This window comes from Homo sapiens, chromosome X, assembly GCF_000001405.40.
Source record: "Homo sapiens chromosome X, GRCh38.p14 Primary Assembly".
In the NCBI taxonomy this organism is placed as follows: Eukaryota; Metazoa; Chordata; class Mammalia; order Primates; family Hominidae; genus Homo; species Homo sapiens.
This window is the reverse complement of record NC_000023.11, coordinates 1281173-1302085: the sequence shown is the minus strand read 5'-3', so window position 1 is coordinate 1302085 and position 20913 is coordinate 1281173. Positions and strand designations below refer to the sequence as shown.

The window sequence follows — 20913 nt, the reverse complement described above, 5'->3', positions numbered from 1 at the left end:
AATTAGCCGGGTGTGGTGGCGGGCGCCTGTAATCCCAGCTACTCGGGAGACTGAGGCTGGAGAATTGCTTGAACCTGGGAGGCGGAGATCGCGGTGAGCCGAGATGGCACCACTGCACTCCAGCCTGGGCAACAAGAGCGAAACGCCATCTAAAAAAAAAAAAAAAAAAAAAAGAGGGAGGGCCGGGCACGGTGGCTCACGCCTGTAATCCCAGCACTTTGGGAGGCCGAGGTGGGCGGATCACGAGGTCAGGAGATCGAGACCATCCTGGCTAAAAAACAGTGAAACCCTGTCTCTACTAAAAAAAAAAAAATACAAAAAATTAGCCAGGCGTGGTGATGGGCACCTGTAGTCCCAGCTACTGGGGAGGCTGAGGCAGGAGAATGGCGTGAACCCAGGAGGTGGAGCTTGCAGTGAGCCGAGATTGCGCCACTGGACTCCAGCCTGCGACAAGAGCGAAACGCCGTCTCAAAAAAAAAAAAAAAAAAAAGAAAAAAAGAGGGAGAGAGCTTCCCCTTGGCCAGGGAGCCGGAATGGTGACGGTTTGACCGGACAAAGACTGACTGATTGTTTCCCAGTGGAGCAGAGGGAGGTGGGACTTTAGGAGGGCTATCAGTGGGGTCCTTCTCTGGCTATTAAGGGATTCTAGCTCATCCACCCTGAAAAAAACACCAGCAAAGCAATGTTGCATGACCCCGTATGAGTATGAGACCACCTCCTTCTACTTTTTCTTTTTTTTTTTTTTTTTTTTTTTGAGACAGAGTCTCACTCTGTCACCCAGGCTGGAGTGCAATGGCGTGACCCCAGCTCACTGCAACCTCCACCTCCCGGGTTCAAGTCATTCTCCTGCCCTCAGCCTCCTGAGTAGCTGGGATTACAGGAATGTGCCACCAATCCTGGTTAGTTTTTGTATTTTTTTTTCTTTTTTTTTTTGAGACGGAGTCTCACGCTGTCACCCAGGCTGGAGTGCAATGGCGTGATCCCAGCTCAGTGCAACCTCCGCCTCCTGGGTTCAAGTGATTCTCCTGCCTCAGCCTCCCGAGTAGCTGGGATTACAGGCACCTGCCACAATGCTGGGCTAATTTTGTATTTTTAGTAGAGACGGGGTTTCACCATGTTGGCCAGGCTGGTCTCAAACTCCTGACCTCCGGTGATCCGCCGGCCTCAGCCTCCCAAATTGCTGGGATTACAGGCGTGAACCGCTGCACCTGGCCCTTCTCTGGTTATTAAGGGAGCCAACTCATCCGTCCTGAAAAAACATCAGCAAAGCAATGTTGCGGGACCAAGTACGAGACCACCTCCTTCTTTTGAGCCTCAGCGATAAGCTCAGAGCCTGACACTACTCCCAGCGACGTGCTCAACTCGATCTCAGCGCCCAGGACAGAGCACCTGACCTCTGTGCCTGCTGCAGGGTGGCCGCAGACGGCACAAACATCCCTTACCTCCGCCCAACGCTTACCAAATTCAATGGCTTCACTCCAGGAGCTCCAATTCAAGATGCGGACGTCTGCAGCTCTGATCTTCACACTGTGTTTTGCTCTGGGCTCAGAGCTTGGAAAGTTGTATCTATTTTCCAAATCACCAGAAACATTAATCTTTGGAGGAAAAAAGAAAGTTAGAGATAGGCGTCTTCTGTGTGGAGGAAAAGGTTGCCTTTTTTCGTTCTTTTGTCTTTTAAGTTTTTTTCTCCTTTTCTTTTTTTCTTTTTCTTCTTTTTTTTCTACCACTCTGAATGCACTTGGTCTGATCGGGTCTTCGAAGCTAAGCAGAGTCAAGCCTCGTTAGTATTTCGATGGGAGACAAGTTGGGAAAATTTGGGTGATGTAGGCTTTAAGCTTTTTTATTTTATTTTATTTATTTATTTTTTGAGACGGAGTCTCCCTCTGTCACCCAGGCTGCAGTGCAGTGGCGCGATCTTGGCTCACTACAACCTCCACCTCCAGGGTTCACACCATTCTCCTGCCTCAGCCTCCCCAGTAGTTGGGACTACAGGTGCCCACCACCACGCCCGGCTAATTTTTGTTGTATTTTTAGTGGAGACGGGGTTTCACCATGTTGGCCAGGATGGTCTCGATCTCCTCACCTCGTGATCCGACCGCCTCGGCCTCACAAAGTGCTGGGATTACAGGCATGAGCCACCACGCCCGGCCTCTTTTATTTTATTTTATTTGAGACACTCTCGCTCTGTCGCCCAGGCTGGAGTGCAATGGCATGATCTGGGCTCACCGCAACCTCCGCTTCCCGGGTTCACGCCATTCTCCTGCCTCAGCCTCCCACGTAGCTGGGATTACAGGCGCCCGCCACCACGCATGGGTACGTTTTGTATTTTTAGTAGAGATGGGGTTTCTCCATGTTGCCCAGGCTGGTCTTGAACTGCTGACCTCAAGTGATCCGCCCACCTCAGCCTCCCAAGGTGCTGGGATGACAGGCGTGAGCCACCGTGCCTGGCTAAAATTTTATTTTCTGAAACAGAAATTGTTGGCCAGGTGTGGGGGTGGGTGCCTGTAGTCCCAGCTACAGGCTGAGACTGTAGAATCTCTGTAGGGAGGCTGAGGCAGGACAATCGCTGGGAGGTGGAGCTTGCAGTGAGCCGAGATCGCACCACTGCACTCCAGCCTGGGGGACAGAGCGAGACTCCGTCTCAAAAATAAATACATACATAAATAAATGATTCAGGATCAACAACTGATATTAACAGACCTTCAGACGGATAGTTTAGCAAGGGATATTAAGATCCCCAAGTCTAGCATACTCATCGGACAGAGGAGGATACCGAGGGTCAGAGTGGCCGCGAGACTTGGTAAATACCCGGCAACAGTACTCACTCTAAAAGCATTTTAGAGGGAGACATAATCTCCTTAGACAGTCACTAGAATATATTCTTAACCCACGTAGAGGAAAGAGGAATAAAATGGGAAAATCAGTAGAACAGGCTGAGCATAAATATTCCAACCATTGGGACACGAAGGTTGAGGCCAAGAGCAGACCCTGCCCAGTGAGAACTATGAGGGGGCCCTCACCCGTGTGAGATCTGCATCCTCTGGTTCAGGATCCACCGTGTCCACCCCTGGGCCACACTGGCACTAAGAGTCCCATAAACCAAGACTGTAGGGTTCGTGGAGACTGTAGGGTGACGCTAGGGTTGTGAGTGGTTCAACTGTATGTCGGGCAGAGTATTCTCCTGTCTACACTGGATCCAGGTAGACGTGGGGCAGGCTCTCCTTCTTGTCTACACTGGGTCTAGGGGGAGGTGAGGTGGGGTCTCCTCCTGATCACACTGGGTCTAGGCAGACATAGGTCGTGGGTAGGGGACTATAGGGTTACACTGGGGGTCATGTGGGGTTACACTAGGGGTCGTGAGTAGGGGACTGTAGGGTTCCACCAGAGGTCATGGGTAGGAGAGTGTAGGGGTCGTGAGTAGGGGACTGTAGGGTTCCACCAGGGGTCATGGGTAGGAGAGTGTAGGGGTCGTGAGTAGGGGACTGTAGGGTTCCACCAGAGGTCATGGGTAGGGGACTGTAGGGTTCCACCGGGGGTTGTGAGTAGGGGATTGTAGGGTCACACTACGGCTCCTGAATAGGGGACTGTAGGGTTACTCCAGGGGTCATGAGTAGGAGACTGTAGGGGTCGTGAGTAGGGGACTGTAGGGTTCTGCCAGGGGTCATGGGTAGGAGAGTGTAGGGGTCGTGAGTAGGGGACTGTAGGGTTCTGCCAGGGGTCATGGGTAGGAGACTGTAGGGGTCGTGAGTAGGGGACTGTAGGGTTCCGCCAGGGGTCATGGGTAGGAGAGTGTAGGGGTCGTGAGTAGGGGACTGTAGGGTTCCACCAGAGGTCATGGGTAGGAGAGTGTAGGGGTCGTGAGTAGGGGACTGTAGGGTTCCACCAGGGGTCATGGGTAGGAGAGTGTAGGGGTCGTGAGTAGGGGACTGTAGGGTTCCACCAGAGGTCATGGGTAGGGGACTGTAGGGTTCCACCGGGGGTTGTGAGTAGGGGATTGTAGGGTCACACTACGGCTCCTGAATAGGGGACTGTAGGGTTACTCCAGGGGTCATGAGTAGGAGACTGTAGGGGTCGTGAGTAGGGGACTGTAGGGTTCTGCCAGGGGTCATGGGTAGGAGAGTGTAGGGGTCGTGAGTAGGGGACTGTAGGGTTCTGCCAGGGGTCATGGGTAGGAGACTGTAGGGGTCGTGAGTAGGGGACTGTAGGGTTCCGCCAGGGGTCATGGGTAGGAGAGTGTAGGGGTCGTGAGTAGGGGACTGTAGGGTTCCACCAGGGGTCATGGGTAGGGGACTGTAGGGTTCCACCGGGGGTTGTGAGTAGGGGATTGTAGGGTCACACTACGGCTCCTGAATAGGGGACTGTAGGGTTACTCCAGGGGTCATGAGTAGGAGACTGTAGGGGTCGTGAGTAGGGGACTGTAGGGTTACTCCAGGGGTCATGAGTAGGAGACTGTAGGGGTCGTGAGTAGGGGACTGTAGGGTTCCTCCAGGGGTCATGGGTAGGAGACTGTAGGGGTCGTGAGTAGGGGACTGTAGGGTTCCGCCAGGGGTCATGGGTAGGAGACTGTAGGGGTCGTGAGTAGGGGACTGTACGGTTCCGCCAGGGGTTATGGGTAGGAGAGTGTAGGGGTCGTGAGTAGGGGACTGTAGGGTTCTGCCAGGGGTCATGGGTAGGAGACTGTACGGGTCGTGAGTAGGGGACTGTAGGGTTCCGCCAGGGGTCATGGGTAGGAGACTGTAGGGGTCGTGAGTAGGGGACTGTACAGTTCCGCCAGGGGTCATGGGTAGGAGACTGTAGGGGTCGTGAGTAGGGGACTGTAGGGTTCCTCCAGGGGTCATGGGTAGGAGACTGTAGGGGTCGTGAGTAGGGGACTGTAGGGTTCCGCCAGGGGTCATGTGTAGGAGACTGTAGGGGTCGTGAGTAGGGGACTGTAGGGTTCCGCCAGGGGTCATGGGTAGGAGAGTGTAGGGGTCGTGAGTAGGGGACTGTAGGGTTCCGCCAGGGGTCATGGGTAGGAAAGTGTAGGGGTCGTGAGTAGGGGACTGTAGGGTTCCGCCAGGGGTCTTGGGTAGGAGAGTGTAGGGGTCGTGAGTAGGGGACTGTACGGTTCCGCCAGGGGTCATGGGTAGGAGACTGTAGGGGTCGTGAGTAGGGGACTGTACGGTTCCGCCAGGGGTCATGGGTAGGAGAGTGTAGGGGTCGTGAGTAGGGGACTGTAGGGTTCTGCCAGGGGTCATGGGTAGGAGACTGTACGGGTCGTGAGTAGGGGACTGTAGGGTTCCGCCAGGGGTCATGGGTAGGAGACTGTAGGGGTCGTGAGTAGGGGACTGTACAGTTCCGCCAGGGGTCATGGGTAGGAGACTGTAGGGGTCGTGAGTAGGGGACTGTAGGGTTCCTCCAGGGGTCATGGGTAGGAGACTGTAGGGGTCGTGAGTAGGGGACTGTAGGGTTCCGCCAGGGGTCATGGGTAGGAGAGTGTAGGGGTCGTGAGTAGGGGACTGTACAGTTCCGCCAGGGGTCATGGGTAGGAGACTGTAGGGGTCGTGAGTAGGGGACTGTACAGTTCCGCCAGGGGTCATGGGTAGGAGACTGTAGGGGTCGTGAGTAGGGGACTGTACGGTTCTGCCAGGGGTCATGGGTAGGAGAGTGTAGGGGTCGTGAGTAGGGGACTGTAGGGTTCTGCCAGGGGTCATGGGTAGGAGACTGTACGGGTCGTGAGTAGGGGACTGTAGGGTTCCGCCAGGGGTCATGGGTAGGAGAGTGTAGGGGTCGTGAGTAGGGGACTGTACAGTTCCGCCAGGGGTCATGGGTAGGAGACTGTAGGGTTACACTAGGGGTTGTGAGTAGGGGAGTGTAGGGTTCCGCCAGAGGTCATGGATAGGGAACTGTATGGTTAGTTACACTAGGTGTAGTGACTAGGGGACTGTAGGGTTACTCCAGGGGTCATGGGTAGGGGACTGTAGGTTTATGCTAGGTGTGGTGAGTAGGGGATTGTAGGGTTATGCCAGGGCTCATGGGTAGGGGACTGTATGGTTACGCTAGGGGTCATGAATAGGGAACTGTAGGCGTCGTGAGTAGGAGACTGTAGGATTACTCCGGGGGTCGTGAGTAGGGGACTGTAGAGTTACACTAGATGTGGTGAGTAGGGGACTGTAGGGTTACGCTGGAGGTCATCGGTAGGGGACTGTAGGGGTCATGAGTAGGGGACTGTAGAGTTACATTAGGTGTGGTGAGTAGGGGACTGTAGGATTAAGCTAGGTGGACGTGGGGCAGGGTCTCTTCCTGTCTACACGGGGTCCAGGTGGTTGTGGGACAAGAGCTCCTCCTGTCTATACTGGGTCTCTGTGGAGGTGGGGCAGGGTCTCCTCCTCCTTACACTAGGTGTGGTGAGTAGGGGACTGTAGGGTTACGCTGGAGGTCGTCAGTAGGGGACTGTAGGGGTCATGAGTAGGGGACTGTAGAGTTACACTAGGTGTGGTGAGTAGGGGACCGTAGGGTTACGCTGGAGGTCGTCGGTAGGGGACTGTAGGGGTCATGAGTAGGGGACTGTAGAGTTACACTAGGTGTGGTGAGTAGGGGACCGTAGGGTTACGCTGAGGGTTGTCAGTAGGGTCTGTGGTTTCACTTACCAGTAGGTTTTCCGTGCCAGGCTGGGTATTCTAGAAACAAAACAAAACACAACACAAGGCTCACTGTTTCCATTTCTAAAACACTGTAGATGGTTCACACAGTGTCTCCCCTGGTGTGGGCACCGAATGGGAAGGAGTCCCTGCGGAGTGGCAGGCAGGTCTCCCTCCACAAACCCCGAATCTACAAGACAGGTAGGATGAGGAGCTGCAAACACAGAAGTCTTCCTGGCCAGATATCTTCCTGTAACCCATCCAGAAAGGTCCCACTGGCCTTGGGGCAGGGTGTTCTCCTGTCGTCCAGGTAGACATGGAGCAGGCTCTCCTTCTTGTCTACACTGGGTCCAGGTGGTTGTGGGACAAGATCTCCTCTTGTCTACACTGGCTCGAGGTGGACATGGGGCAGGGTCTCTTCTTGTCTACACTGGGTCCAGGAGGTTGTGAGACAAGATCTCCTCTTGTCTACACTGGATCGAGGTGGACGTGAGGCAGTCTCTCTCCCTGTCTACACTGGGTCCAGGTAGTTGTGGGACAAGAACTCCTCCTGTCTACACTGGGTCTCCATGGAGGTGGAGCAGGGTCTCCTCCTGTCTACACTGGGTGTAGGTGGAGGTGGGGTCGGGTGTCCTCCTATCTACACTGGGTCCAGGTAGACATGGGGCAGGGTCTCCTTCTGTCTACACTGCGTCCAGCTGGAGGTGGAGCAGAGGCTCTCCTTGCTTGTGGCATCGTCCCCCACACCTCCCGGTCCACTTCCTGGTTCCATGGTTGCAGGATCATCCTTGTCCACCCTCCCTGCAACCTCTTTCAAGGTGGCTCCACAGGCCACAGACCCTTCACCTCTTCCTCCGCTACCCGAAGTGCGTTCACCCCAGAGTCACCGCTCACCACCCACGCATCCTTCCCCCAGGCCACTTCCCCGGGATTCCCAGGCTCCTGTGCGGGCGTGTCCCGTACGCCTCCCTCCTGGTGCCCAGCCCCGGGGAGCTCTCACCGACCTTTCTGTGGACGTCCAGCTGGTACTGAAAGTCCAGGTACGACAGCTTCTGATAGGTCCTGGGCTGTTTCCACCGTACGAGGCAGTGCGTCGTGTTGCAACGTACGGTGACATTGCTGGGAGGGTTGAATCGTTCTGTAACGAGGGCGCAGGACACACCCCTGAACCCGAGAGGTCCTGTCTACACTGGGTCCAGGTGGAGGTGGTGCAGAGTCTCCTCCTGTCTACACTGGGTCCAGGTGGAGGTGGAGTAGGTCCTGTCTACACTGGGTCCAGGTGGAGGTGGAGTAGGGACACCTCTTTGACTACACTGGGTCCAGGTGGAGATGGGGCAGGGTCTCCTCCTGTCTACACTGGGTCCAGGTAGAGGTGGGGCAGGGTCTCCTCCTGTCTACACTCGGTCCAGGTGGAGGTGGTGCAGTCTTCTCCTGTCTACACTGGGTCCAGGTGGAGGTGGGGCAGGGTCTCCTCCCATCTACACTGGGTCCAGGTAGATATGGAGTAGAAACACCTCTTTGTCTACGCTGGGTCCAGGTGGAGATGGGGCAGAGTCTTCTCCTGTCTACACTGGGTCCAGGTGGAGGTGGGGCAGGGTCTCCTCCTGTCTACACTGGGTCCAGGTGGAGGTGGTGCAGAGTCTTCTCCTGTCTACACTGGGTCCAGGTGGAGGTGGGGCAGGGTCTCCTCCTGTCTACACTCGGTCCAGGTGGATGTGGACTAGGGACACCTCTTTGTCTACACTGGGTCCAGGTGGAGATGGGGCAGGGTCTCCTCCCATCTACACTGGGTCCAGGTAGATATGGAGTAGAAACACCTCTTTGTCTACGCTGGGTCCAGGTGGAGGTGGGGCAGGGTCTCCTCCTGTCTACACTGGGTCCAGGTAAATGTGGAGTAGGGACACCTCTTTGTCTACTCTGTGTAGGGAAAAGAAAGAGAGATCAGGGGGCTGGGCGCGGTGGCTCACGCCTGTAATCCCAGCACTTTGGGAGGCCGAGGCGGGAGGATCACGAGGTCAGGAGGTCGAGACCATCCTGGCTAACACGGTGAAACCCCGTCTCTACTAAAAATCCAAAAAAATTAGCCGGGCGTGGTGGCGGGTGCCTGTAGTCCCAGCTACTCGGGAGGCTGAGGCAGGAGAATGGCGTGAACCCGGGAGGCGGAGGTTGCAGTGAGCCGAGATCCCGCCACTGCCCTCCAGCCTGGGTGGGCGACAGAGTGAGACTCTGTCTCAGAAAAACAAACAAACAAACAAAAAGAAAGATCAGACTGTTACTGTGTCTATGTAGAAAGGAAGGTAAGAAACTCCATTGTGATCTGTATGTTGAACCACTGTTTTGCCTTGAGATGCTGTTAAGCTGTAACTGTAGCCCCAACACTGTGCTCACAGAAACATGTGCTGTGTCTTGTTAACAATAGGTTTGCAGGCAGCATGCTTGGTAAAAGTCATCGCCATTCTCCATTCTCTATTAACCAGGGACACCATGCACTGCGGAAAGCCGCAGGGACCTCTGCCCGAGAGAGCCCGGGTATTGTCTGAGGGTTCCCCCCACTGAGACAGTCTGAGATATGGCCTCGTGGGAAGGGAAAAAGACCTGACCGTCCCCCAGCCCGACATCCATAAAGGGTCTGTGCCGAGGAGGAAGTCCTCTCGCGGTTGAGATAAGAGGAAGCCCTCCGTCTCCTGCCTGCCCCTGGGAATGGAATGTCTCCGTGTAAAACCCGATCGTACATTCGTTCTATTCTGAGACAGGAGAAAACCGCCCTGTGGCTGGAGGCGAGATATGCTGGTGGCAATACTGCTCTGTGACTCTTTGCTACACTGATGTTTGTGTGGAGAGAAGCATAAATCTGGCCTGCGTGTGCATCCAGGCATAGTAGCTTCCCTTGAACTTATTTGTGACACAGATTCCTTTGCTCATATGTCTTCCTGCTGACCTTCTCCCCACTATCACCCTGTCCTCCTGCCACATTCCCCTTGCCAAGATAGTGAAAATAGTAAGCAATAAATACTGAGAGAACTCAGAGACCGGTGCAGGTCCTCCGTATGCTGAGCGCCGGTCCCCTGGGCTCACTGTTCTTTCTCTATACTTTGTCTCTGTGTCTTATTTCTTTTCTCAGTCTCTCGTCCCACCTGACGAGAAATACCCACATGTGTGGAAGGGCTGGTCGCCTTCACACTGGGTCCAGGTAGAGGTGGGGCAGGGTCTCCTCCTGTCTACACTGTGTCCACGTAAATGTGGAGTAGGGACACCTCTTTGTCTACACTGGGTCCAGGTGGAGGTGGTGCAGTCTCCTCCTGTCTACACTGGGTCCAGGTGGACGTGGAGTAGGGACACCTCTTTGTCTACACTGGGTCCAGGTGGAGGTGGTGCAGGGTCTCCTGTCTACACTGGGTCCAAGTGGAGGTGGTGCAGTCTCCTCCTGTCTACACTGTGTCCAGGTAAATGTGGAGTAGGGACACCTCTTTGTCTACACTGGGTCCAGGTGGAGGTGGTGCAGGGTCTCCTTCTGTCTACACTGGGTAAAGTGGAGGTGGTACAGGGTCTCCTCCTGTCTACACTGGGTCCAGGTGGACGTGGAGTAGGGACATCTCTTTGACTACACTGGGTCCAGGTGGAGGTGGTGCAGTCTCCTCCTGTCTACACTGGATCCAGGTGGACGTGGAGTAGGGACACCTCTTTGTCTACACTGGGTCCAGGTGGAGGTGGTACAGGGTCTCCTCCTGTCTACACTGGGTCCAAGTGGAGGTGGGGCAGCTACCATGTACAGGAGAGATACCCACTGGGGCAGGGGTTCCAGGGTGGGAGGTGGGGATGGGCTTGGTGGGCAGGAGTCACACTTCTGTGAGAGTCCTAAGCCTGAAGAGGCTGGGAACGTCCAACGGGATGAAGGAGTCCACGGGTGGGATGCGGTGGGCTTGGGAAGAGGAGAGCGTGTGGGCATATGGGACTGGCTCCAAGAGGCCAGCCAGGAGCAGGGCACTGGGACACGAAGAGGTGCTGGTGAGGAAGAAATGAAGAAAAAGAGGAAGGAAGGAGGAAATGAGTGAAGGAGAAGGAAGGAGAGGAAGAAGGAAGGAATGAAGAAGGGAGGGAGAGAGGGAGGGAGGGAAGGAAGAAGGGAGGGAAGGAGGAAGGAAGGAAGGAAAGGAGGGAGGGAGGGAAGGAAGGAAGGAAGGAAGAAAAAAGAAGAAAGGCAGAAAGGCAGGGAGGAAGGAAAGAAGGAAGGAGGTAAAGAGGGAGGTCAGGTGCAGTGGCTGACGCCTGTAATCCCAGCACTTTGGGAGGCTGAGGCAGGTGGATCATCTGAGGTCAGGAGTTCGAGACTAGCCCGGCCAAGATGGTGAAACACTGCCTCTACTAAAAATACAAAAATTAGCCGAGCGTGGTGGTGTGCACCTGTAATCCAAGCTACTAAGGAGACTAAGACAGAAGAATCGCTTGAACCTGGGAGGCAGAGGTTGCAGTGAGCTGAGATTGCACCACTGCACTCCAGCCTGGGTGACAGAGCGAGACTCTATCTCAAAAAAAGGAAAGTTAAATCAGCTCAGTTCTAATTTGTTACAGCACCAAAGTTACACAGATTTTTGTTTGTTTGTTTTTGAGACAGAGTCTTGCTCTGTCGCTCAAGCTGGAGTGCAGTGGCACAATCTCACCTCATTGCAACGTCCGCCTCCTAGGTTTGAGTGATTCTCCTCAGCCTTCCGAGTAGCTGGGATTACAGGCACGCGCCACCATGCCCGGCTAATTTTTGTATTTTTAGTAGAGATGGGGTTTCCCCATGTTGGTCAGGCTGGTTTTGAACACCCGATCTCAGGTGATCGGCCCGCCTCGGCCTCCCAAAGTGCTGAGATTACAGGTGTGAGACACCGCACGTGGCCTCAGTTACACAGATTTTAAGGCAAATTCCATTTCACCTATAAACAATAGGAAAATCATATGTGTTATTCTCACCTATTTTCTTTGTGTCCAAAAGTGAATCAAAGAATTGGATGCCAATTTCTCGGCTGGTTCCGTTAACCAGAAAGTAATTGCGAGACGTTAATCCTGACAGGTTATCCAGGTGACATCCCACATGGGTTCCTGAGTCTTGTATGTAATAAGGACACCGGATCTCCCTCCTTCTCCTGAAAGATTAGAAAGTGCTCAGAGAGCAATCAGGAAAACAAAACAAAACACAAAAACACAAAACAAAACAAAAACAAACACAAAACAAAACACAAAAACACAAAACACAAAAACACAAAACAAAAACACAAAACAAAAAAAACCCACAAAAACACAAAACACAAAACAAAAACACAAAACAAAACGAAAACAAACACAAAACAAAACATAAAAACACAAAACACAAAACAAAAACAAACACAAAACAAAACACAAAAACACAAATCAAAAACACAAAACAAAACAAAAACACAAAACAAAACAAAACACAAAAACACAAAACAAAACACAAAACACAAAACAAAAACACAAAAACACAAAACAAAACAAAAACAAACACAAAACAAAACACAAAAACACAAAACAAAACAAAACACAAAAACAAAACACAAAAACACAAAACAAAACAAAACACAAAAACACAAAACACAAAACAAAAACACAAAAACACAAAACAAAACAAAAACAAACACAAAACAAAACAAAACACAAAAACACAAAACAAAACAAAATGAAACAAAAACACAAAAACACAAAACAAAAACAAACACAAAAGAAAACCACAAAACAAAAACACCAAAACACAAACAAAAAAACACAAAACAAAAACAAACACAACACAAAACAAAAACCACAAAACAAAACAAAAACAAACACAAAACAAAACACAAAACAAAACAAAAACAAACACAAAAAACAAAAACACAAAAACACAAAACACCACAAAAACGTGAAACCAAAAAAACACAAAAACAAAAGAAAAACACAGAAACACAAAACAAAACAAGAACACAAAAACACAAGGCAAAACAAAAAGAAACACAAAACAAAACAAAAAACACAAAACAAAACAACAACCAAAAAAACAGGCCAGGTGCAGTGGCTCACGCCTGTAATCCCAGCACTTTGGGGAGGTTGAGGCAGGCAGATCACTTGAGGTCAGGAGTTGGAGACCAGCCTGGCCAGCATGGTGAAACCCTGTCTCTACTAAAAATACAAAAATTAGACAGGTGTGGTGGAGTGCACCTGTAGTCCCAGCTACTTGGGAGGCTGAGGCAGGAGAATCACTTGAACCCTGGAGGGAGGCGCAGGTTGCAGGGAGCTGAGATCACATCACTACACTCCAGCCTGGGCGACAGAGCAAGACTCTGTCTCTAAATACATAGATGTGGCCTGGTGTGGTGGCGGGCGCCTGTAATCCCAGCTACCTGGGAAGCTGAGGCAGGAAAATTGCTTGAACCCAGGAGGTCGAGGTTGCAGTGAGCCGAGGTGGCACCATTGCATTGCAGCCTGGGCAACAGAGCAAGACCATGTCTTAAAAAAAGAAAAAGGAAAAAAAGAAAACCAGCATGATTTTTTCTCCCATCCCTGCATTCCTCATAATTCTTCACATGAGGTGAACACTTACTTTGAGTTTCGTATGTACAAAAAATACTGGACGTCACGGGGGGCCGTCGGACCCCTCGCCCAGGTACAGTTCATTAAATCCGCATTGTAGATGAAACAGGAGAAATTCTGAGCAGCGGTACCCTCCCTTCCTGGGAAGAGGTAGAAACAAAATAATTTTCACTCCGAAGTTCAACGGGATGTACTTTGATGCTGGCGGGGTGGTGGGGCCAGTGCTGTAAACGGATCCCTGAGCTGTCTTGCTTACCTGAATTTGGATAAAGCAGTTTCTGTTGAAATCCTCTTTGACTAGTATTCACGTGAACCTCAAATGTGACTCCTTCATGCAGACAAATTTCACGAAATGTGCACGAACATTCGTTGTTACTGAGCTGAAGAATTGCAACCAGACAGAGCCGATTAGGAAACAACCTTCTGTCTCCTACAGTCTCCCAGGCTGGAGTGCAGTGGCGTGATCTCGGCTCACTACAACCTCCGCCTTCCAGGTTCAAGCAATTCTCCCGCCTCAGCCTCCCGAGTAGCTCGGATTACAGACACCCGCCACCACACCCTGCTAATTTGTGTATTTGTAGTAGAGACAGGGTTTCACCATGTTGGCCAGGCTGGTCTCAAACTCCTGACCTCAGGTGATCCACCCGCCTCGGCCTCCCAAAGTGCTGGGATTACAGGCGTGAGCCACCATGCCCGGCCATGGTATTGGTTTTTACCTGGATTTGGCGACACGCACCTGCCTCCCTTTGTGAAATCATCCCCCTAAGCTTCCTCCGAGGGCTCTGAGTGGATACGCTGAATACCAGCTTGCAGGTGAAAACTCAATCTTATACTCTAGCAGTGCTGAAAGTACCAGACTAGAGGCCAGGTGCCGTGGCTCACACCTGTAATCCCAGCACTCTGGGAGGCCAAGGCGGGTGGATCACTTGAGGTCAGGAGTTCAAGACCAGCCTGGCCAACATGGTGAAACCCCGTCTCTACTAAAAATACAAAAATTAGCCAGGTGTGGTGGCAGGCACCTGTAATCCCTGCTACTCGGGAGGCTGAGGCAGGAGACTCTCTTGAACCCAGGAGGCACAGGTTGCAGTGAGCTGAGATCACGCCAGTGCACTCCAGCCTGGGTGACAGACAGAGACTCCATCCCCCCAAAAAAAGGGTCGGACATAGTGGCTCACACCTGTAATGCCAGCACTCTGGGAGGCCGAGGCGGGTGGATCACTTGAGGTCAGGAGTTCAAGATCAGCCTGGCCAACATGGTGAAACCCCGTCTCTACTAAAAATACAAAAATTAGCCAGGTGTGGTGGTGGGCACCTGTAATCCCAGCTACTCAGGAGGCTGAGGCAGGAGAATCTCTTGAACCCAGGAGGCACAGGTTGCAGGGAGCTGAGATCACGCCAGTGCACTCCAGCCTGGGCGACAGAGCGAGACTCCATCCCAAAAAATAAAGGTCGGACACGGTGGCTCACACCTGTAATGCCAGCACTTTGGGAGGCCAAGGAGGGTGGATCACGAGGTCAGGAGTTGGAGACCAGCCTGGCCAACATGGTGAAACCCCGTCTCTACTAAAAATACAAAAATTAGCCAGGCGTGGTGGCACGCACCTGTAATCCCAGCTACTCAGGAGGCTGAGATAGGAGAATCGCTTGAACCCAGGAGGTGGAGGTTGCAGTGAGCCAAGATCACACCAGTGTACTCCAGCCTGGGCAACAAGAGGGAAACTCCATCTCAAAAAAAAAAAAAAAAAAAAAAAGTATGTCATCTGGGGTAACATAGCAAGACCACCCATCCCTCCGTGTAGCATCTACCTATAGAATTGATTATCAATCTTCCAATCATCTATTATCACCTATCAGTCAATAAATCATCTATCACCTATCTATCGATCATCCATATTTCTCTCTTCCTCTCCCTCCTCCTTCTATCCTTTCTCTGTGTTTCTCCCTCCTTCCCTCCCCTCTCCCCGCTCTTCTGTCTCTGTCTCCTGTGTTCCAAAAACCCTGACCTTAATCCCTTGGGGAACCAGGACGGTGACACACTGACAACGTGACTGACACTTTACTTTTCTCCGTCCTGCTTCCACCACAGACCCAGGGGCACATCCAACTGCATTTGCCAGGATTTCTCTTCTCTTGGGGTAAAATACGGTAACATAGGCTCTGCCTCAGGGAATCAGGCTCTGGTACACATTGTGGACATGAGCTAACAGCACTTTCCCGGTTCCCGTGAGATTATGGCTGTGACATTTCTCCAAATACCACACTTGTGTTGTTTGTGTCTGTGGCCCTCTCGCTTTTATTTAATTGAATTTATTATTTTTTTTTTTTTTTGGAGACAGAGTTTTGCTCTTGTTGCCCAGGCTGGAGTGCAATGGCACCATCTCGGCTCACCGCAACCTCCGCCTCCCGAGTTTCAGTAATTCTCCTGCCTCAGCCTCCCGAGTAGCTGGGATTACAGATGCCTGCCACCATGCCCGACTAATTTTTGTATTTTTAGTAGAGATGGGGTTTCACCATGTTGGTCAGCCTGGTCTTGAACTCCTGACCTCAGGTGATCCACCTGCCTCGGCCTCCCAGAGTGCTGGGATGACAAGCGTGAGCCACCACACCCGGCCTTATTGCATTTTATGAGACAGAGTCTCGCTCTGTCACCCAGGCTGGAGTGCAATGGCACGAGCTCGACTCACTGCAACTTCCACCTCCCGGGTTCGAGTAATTCTTCTGCCCTCAGCCTCCTGAGTAGCTGGGACTACAGGCATGCACCAGCACGCCCGGCTAATTTTGTATTTGTAGTAGAGACGGGGTTTCACCATGTTGGTCAGGCTGGTCTTGAACTCCCGACCTCAGGTGATCCGCCCACCTCAGCCTCCCAAAGTGCTGGGATGACAGGCGTGAGCCGCCGCGCCCAGCCGGCCCTGTTGCTTTTAACTCAGAAAGGGGTGTGTAAAGGACAGGGGTTGAGAATGGGAAATTCGTCTCACCCTGGGTTCCACGACTCTGTTCTTCTTGTCAGTTAAGAAACACTTGCTGAAGGTTGTGTTTTCTTGGCAGTCCCAGCTTAAATTCATCGTCCTGGAGTCAAACCTCACATTGAGACTAGAGGCTGGTGCCACTGTTCGCAGATCTGCAAGGAGCGGGCACTGGGTTCAGAATTTCCTCTTTTCTTTTCCTTTTTTTTTTTTTTTTTTTTTTTTTTTTTTGAGACGGAGTCTGGCTTTGTCTCCCAGGCTGGAGTGCAGTGCTGTGATCTCAGGTCACTGCAAGCTGCAAGCTCCACCACCCGGGTTCAAATGATTCTCCTGCCTCAGCCTCCCGAGTAGCTGGGATGACAGGCGCCGACCACCATGCCCAGCTAATTTTTGTATTTTTAGTAGAGATGGGGGTTTCACCATGTTGGTCAGGCTGGTCTCGAACTGCCGACCTCAGGTGATCCGCCTGCCTCAGCCTCCCGAAGTGCTGGGATAACAGGCGTGAGCCACCGTGCCCGGCCGGCCCTGTTTTCTGTCCTCCCACCCGGCTCTGGGAGGTGAAGTTCAGGGCTGAAGCCTGCTGATTTTCCTCTGTCACCCACATGGCCCCAGGACGTCCCACATCCTCAGGTATCTGTTCCTCCCTTGTCCATCTTCCCTCCTTTTCACAGCCCCCTGGCTGTTTCTGAAAAAGGAGATTTCTACTGCAGAAATATTCAAAAATCATCTGAAGACTGGGGGTGGTGGCTCACGCCTCTAATCCCAGCACCTTGGGAGGCTGAGGCAAAAAGCTGACTTGAGCCCAGTAGGTTCAGATCCCGCCTGGGCAACATAGCAAGATCGCATCTCTTTAAAAAAAATTTTTTTTTAAAAATTTAAATTAGGCAGGTGTGATGGTGCACATCTGTGGTCCCAGCTTGCTCCTTCTCCACATGGAGATGTTTACTGCAGAAATCATCAAAAACTGGCCAGGCGCGGTGGCTCATGCCTGCAATCCCAGCACTTTGGTAGGCTGAGGTGGGCGGATCACCTGAGGTCAGCAGTTCGAGACCAGCCTGGCCAATGTGGTGAAACCCTGTCTCTACTAAAAATACAAAAAAATTAGGTGGACATGGTGGCGGGTACCTGTAATCCCAGCTACTCAGGAGGCTGAGGCAGGAGAATCGGTTGAACCCGGGAGGTGGAGGTTGCAATGAGCCGAGATCGCGCCACTGCACTCCAGCCTGGGAGACAGAGTAAGACTCCATCTCAAAAAAAAAAAAAAAAAAAAAATCAAAAACTAGTCTTGGCAACATAGCAAGATCTCGTCTATAAAATTTAAAAAAAAAAAAATTTAAATTAGCTTGGCATGGTGGTGTATTTCTGCAGTCCCAGCTACTTGGGAGGCTGGAGTGGGAGGATACTTGATCCCAGAAAGCTGAGGCTGCAGTGAGCCGAGATCGCGCCACTGCACTCCAGCCTGGGTGACAGAGTAAGACTCCATCTCAAAAAAAAAAAAAAATCAAAAACTAGTCTTGGCAACATAGCAAGATCTCCTCTATAAAATTAAAAAAAAAATTTAAATTAGCTTGGCATGGTGGTGTATTTCTGCAGTCCCAGCTACTTGGGAGGCTGGAGTGGGAGGATACTTGATCCCAGAAAGCTGAGGCTGCAGTGAGCCGAGATCACGCCACTGCACTCCAGCCTGGGAGACAGAGCGAGATCCTGTCTCAAAAAAAAAAAAAAAAAAAAAAAAAAGAGAGACAGAGAAAGAAAACCGCTTGAATGAGAACAGGCAAAGGCTCTTTATCCAGAGTGATGTGGCTCTGAACACACTTCCCAAATTATGGAACCTTGGCAGTTTAATATAAAGCTGAAGGAATTTGAGAAAATTGCAGAAACAGAAAGCTGTCTTTGTCTGTCTTCCCTGAACCAGGTCACAAAAACCTGGAAATACTTTCCTGAAGCAGAGGCCCTGACACCCTCAGTCAAGAGGGTCCCTCCCGGAAACGCAAATCAAAACCACAATGAGCTATCATTCCACGCCAGTCACAATGGCTGCTATTAAGAAGTCAACAAACAAGAGGCTGGGTGTGGCGGCTCATAGCTGTAATCCTAGCACTTTGGGAGGCCGAGGCACGGGATCACCTGAGGCCAGGAGATTGAGACCAGCCTGGCCAACATGACAAAACCCCATCTCTACTAAAAATACAAAAAAATTAGCTGGGCCTGGTGGCAGGCGCCTGTAATCCCAGCTACTCGGGAGGCTGAGGCAGGAGAATCGCTTGAACCCGGGAGGCTGAGTTTGCAGTGAGCTGAGATTGAGCCATTGCACTCCAGCCTGGGCAACAAGAGGGAGACTCTGAAAAGAAAGAAAAAGAAAGAAGGAAAGAAAGAAAGAAAGAAAGAAGAAAGAGGAAGAAAGAAACAAAGAAGGAGAAAAAAAAAGGAGAAAGAAAGAAAGAAAGAGAGAGAGAGAGGGAGGGAGGGAGGGAAGGAAGGAAAGAAAGAAAAACAATGGAAGGAAGAAAGAGAGAGAGGGAAGGAGGGAAGGAAGAAAGAGAAAGAAAGAAGGGAGGGACGGAAGAAGGAAGGAAAGAAGGAAACAATGGAAGGAAGAAAGAGAGAAAGGGAAGGAGGGAAGGAAGGAAGAGAAAGAAAGAGAAGAAATGAATCAGGAGGGAGAGAAGGATGGAAGGAAGGAGAGAAGGAAGGATGGAAAGAGGGAGGGCAGGAGGAAGAGAAGGAAGCAAGGGAGGGAAGGAAGGAAGGAAGGAAGGAAGGAACGAAGGAAGGAACGAAGGAAGGAAGGAAGGAAGGAAGGAAGGAACGAAGGAACGAAGGAACGAAGGAAGGAAGGAACACTTTGGCCCCATGCAGACATGGGTCCTCATCCTGGCCCCATCACTACCTGGATGGTCGTTGGGTTAAACTGTGGAGGTATCTGAGCCTCCGTTTTCTCATCTGTAGAATGGGTGGATGGGAATTAACAGCAGAAAAGGAGGTGAGAACAAGAGGAGCTCTGAGCTTCTGGTGGGTTGGCTGGTGCTTATTGGGTCCCTCATAAACATTAGAGATGAAATGCAGATGGACCCAGGTATCCAGATGGGTCTCCAGATGCAGGACATCTAAACAGGGGCCGCGGAGAAGGTTCAGCCAGGTTTCCATACTTACCCGATTTCTCTGGGATCAGGAGGAATGCTGGGTGTGGTAACTCACAGAGCAGAAGGCTTGTCACCAGGAGAAGCATGGTGCTGGTCAGAGAGAAGGGAAGAGCTGCAGGAGAGAAAATATCACACAGTGAGAAGGTTGCCTCTCCCAGGACATTCCTGGCAGGGGACCCCAGGGAGGTGATTTGGGGAAACAAACCCAGGATGGTGGTCAGCCGCTGACCTGGTCAAATGAGGGGTCATGGCCAGCTGGGAAGGTCTGCAGGGCCATTATTCTGTCTCCCACATGGGATTAGGACGTGGACATCTTTGGCATCTCAAGATGGTCAATCTAGAGTCAAGCTTCCATGGTTCATGGGTCATGGCTCAGCTGACCTTCATGAGGGAACCCATAGCTGACACTAAAGGCAGGTTCTAACACACTTCAAGGAAATTGCAGTCACTTTCATTCATTTTTCATAGCTTTTACTTTCTGTTAATAATTAGTGGATTTGGGGAAATAAGATAAACGATGGCTCAGGTTTTCATTTTCATAACTTTTGTTTTGTTTTGCTCTTTTGTACTTTTTTTTTCTTTTTTGAGACAAAGTCACGCTCTGTCACCCAGGCTGGAGTGCAGTGGCGCGATCTCGGCTCACTGCAACCTCCACATCCCAGGTTCACACCATTCTCCTGCCTCAGCTTCCCAAGTAGCTGGGACTACAGGCGCCTGCCACCACACCCAGCTAATTTTTTTTTTTTTTTTTTTTTTTTAGTAGAAACAGGCTTTCACCGTGTTAGCCAGGATGGTCTCCATCTCCTGACCTCGTGATCCACCTGCCTCGGCCTCCCAAAGTGCTGGGATTACAGGCGTGAGCCACCGTGCCCGGCCCTGCTCTTTTATATTTTTTAAAAAATCTTGACTTTTGCAACAGCTATAAAAGGAAAGTGAAAAAAAAAAAAAAAAGAAGAGGAAGAAAAAAAGGGTGAGTACATAAAACGACATGAATGAAGTTTAAATACTTATGACTAAGGGAAAGAATCCACTTTGAGATGGCTGCAGACTGAGTCATTCTAACACTTGGACACTGTGGAAAAGACAAAATCATGGAAACAGTAAAAAGATCCGGAGTTGGTTGGCGTTGGGCAGATGGAGGGATGAATACATGGACCTCAGAGGATGTTTAGGGCAGTGAAACTACTCTTATTTGATACTTCTTTATGCAAAAAAGGAAAAAGAAGGAGGAGGAGGAAAGGTGCAGGAGGAGGAGAAGGAGGAGGAGGAGAAGGAAGAGAAGGAGGAGTAGGAGGAAGAGGAGGAGAAGGAGCAGGAGGAGAAGGAGGAGGAGGAGAAGGAGCAGGAGGAGGAGAAGAAGGAGGAGGAGAAGGAGGAGTAGGAGAAGGCGGAGGAGGAGGAGAGGGAGGAGGAGGAGAAGGAGGAGGAGGAGAAGGAGGAAGAGGAGAAGGAGGAGGAGGAGAAGGAGGAGGAGGAGAAGGAAGAGAAGGAGGAGTAGGAGGAAGAGGAGGAGAAGGAGCAGGAGGAGGAGAAGAAGGAAGAGGAGAAGGAGGAGTAGGAGAAGGAGGAGTAGGAGAAGGAGGAGTAGGAGAAGGAGGAGAAGGAGAAGGAGGAGAA

General features: G+C 51.4%; 1 protein-coding gene, 1 long non-coding RNA gene, 1 other non-coding gene and 1 pseudogene across 40 annotated transcripts in view; 2 read left to right on the top strand and 2 right to left on the bottom strand.

Moving 5' to 3' along the window:
* Positions 1 to 20913, bottom strand: part of CSF2RA (colony stimulating factor 2 receptor subunit alpha) — a 56405-nt gene that overhangs the window by 23133 nt on the left and 12359 nt on the right. For 30 of the 38 annotated variants that reach the window (NM_001379163.1, NM_001379159.1, XM_047441851.1 and 27 more), the window contains 8 exons: positions 19307 to 19408; positions 16166 to 16308; positions 13444 to 13567; positions 13198 to 13327; positions 11577 to 11749; positions 7625 to 7758; positions 6630 to 6659; positions 1460 to 1595 (listed from right to left, as the gene is read on the bottom strand). In NM_001379163.1, the coding sequence (NP_001366092.1) occupies positions 1460 to 1595; positions 6630 to 6659; positions 7625 to 7758; positions 11577 to 11749; positions 13198 to 13327; positions 13444 to 13567; positions 16166 to 16308; positions 19307 to 19382 (946 nt within the window). In that variant the 5' untranslated portion in view covers positions 19383 to 19408. Of the gene's footprint in view, positions 1 to 1459; positions 1596 to 3020; positions 3084 to 6629; positions 6660 to 7624; positions 7759 to 11576; positions 11750 to 13197; positions 13328 to 13443; positions 13568 to 16165; positions 16309 to 19043; positions 19284 to 19306; positions 19409 to 19525; positions 19851 to 20913 lie in introns of those variants that run through there. The other 8 variants (NM_001161529.2, XM_047441848.1, NM_001379166.1 and 5 more) reach the window with 8 other exon arrangements.
* On the top strand, positions 1711 to 1830 carry RNA5SP498 (RNA, 5S ribosomal pseudogene 498; annotated as a pseudogene).
* LOC124905238 (uncharacterized) lies at positions 8088 to 8540 on the top strand. The gene is made up of 3 exons (XR_007068370.1): positions 8088 to 8157; positions 8201 to 8243; positions 8504 to 8540. It is a non-coding gene; the product is annotated as an uncharacterized LOC124905238 (long non-coding RNA).
* Positions 8094 to 8168, bottom strand: MIR3690 (microRNA 3690). Its single transcript, NR_037461.1, has one exon. It is a non-coding gene; the product is annotated as a microRNA 3690 (primary transcript).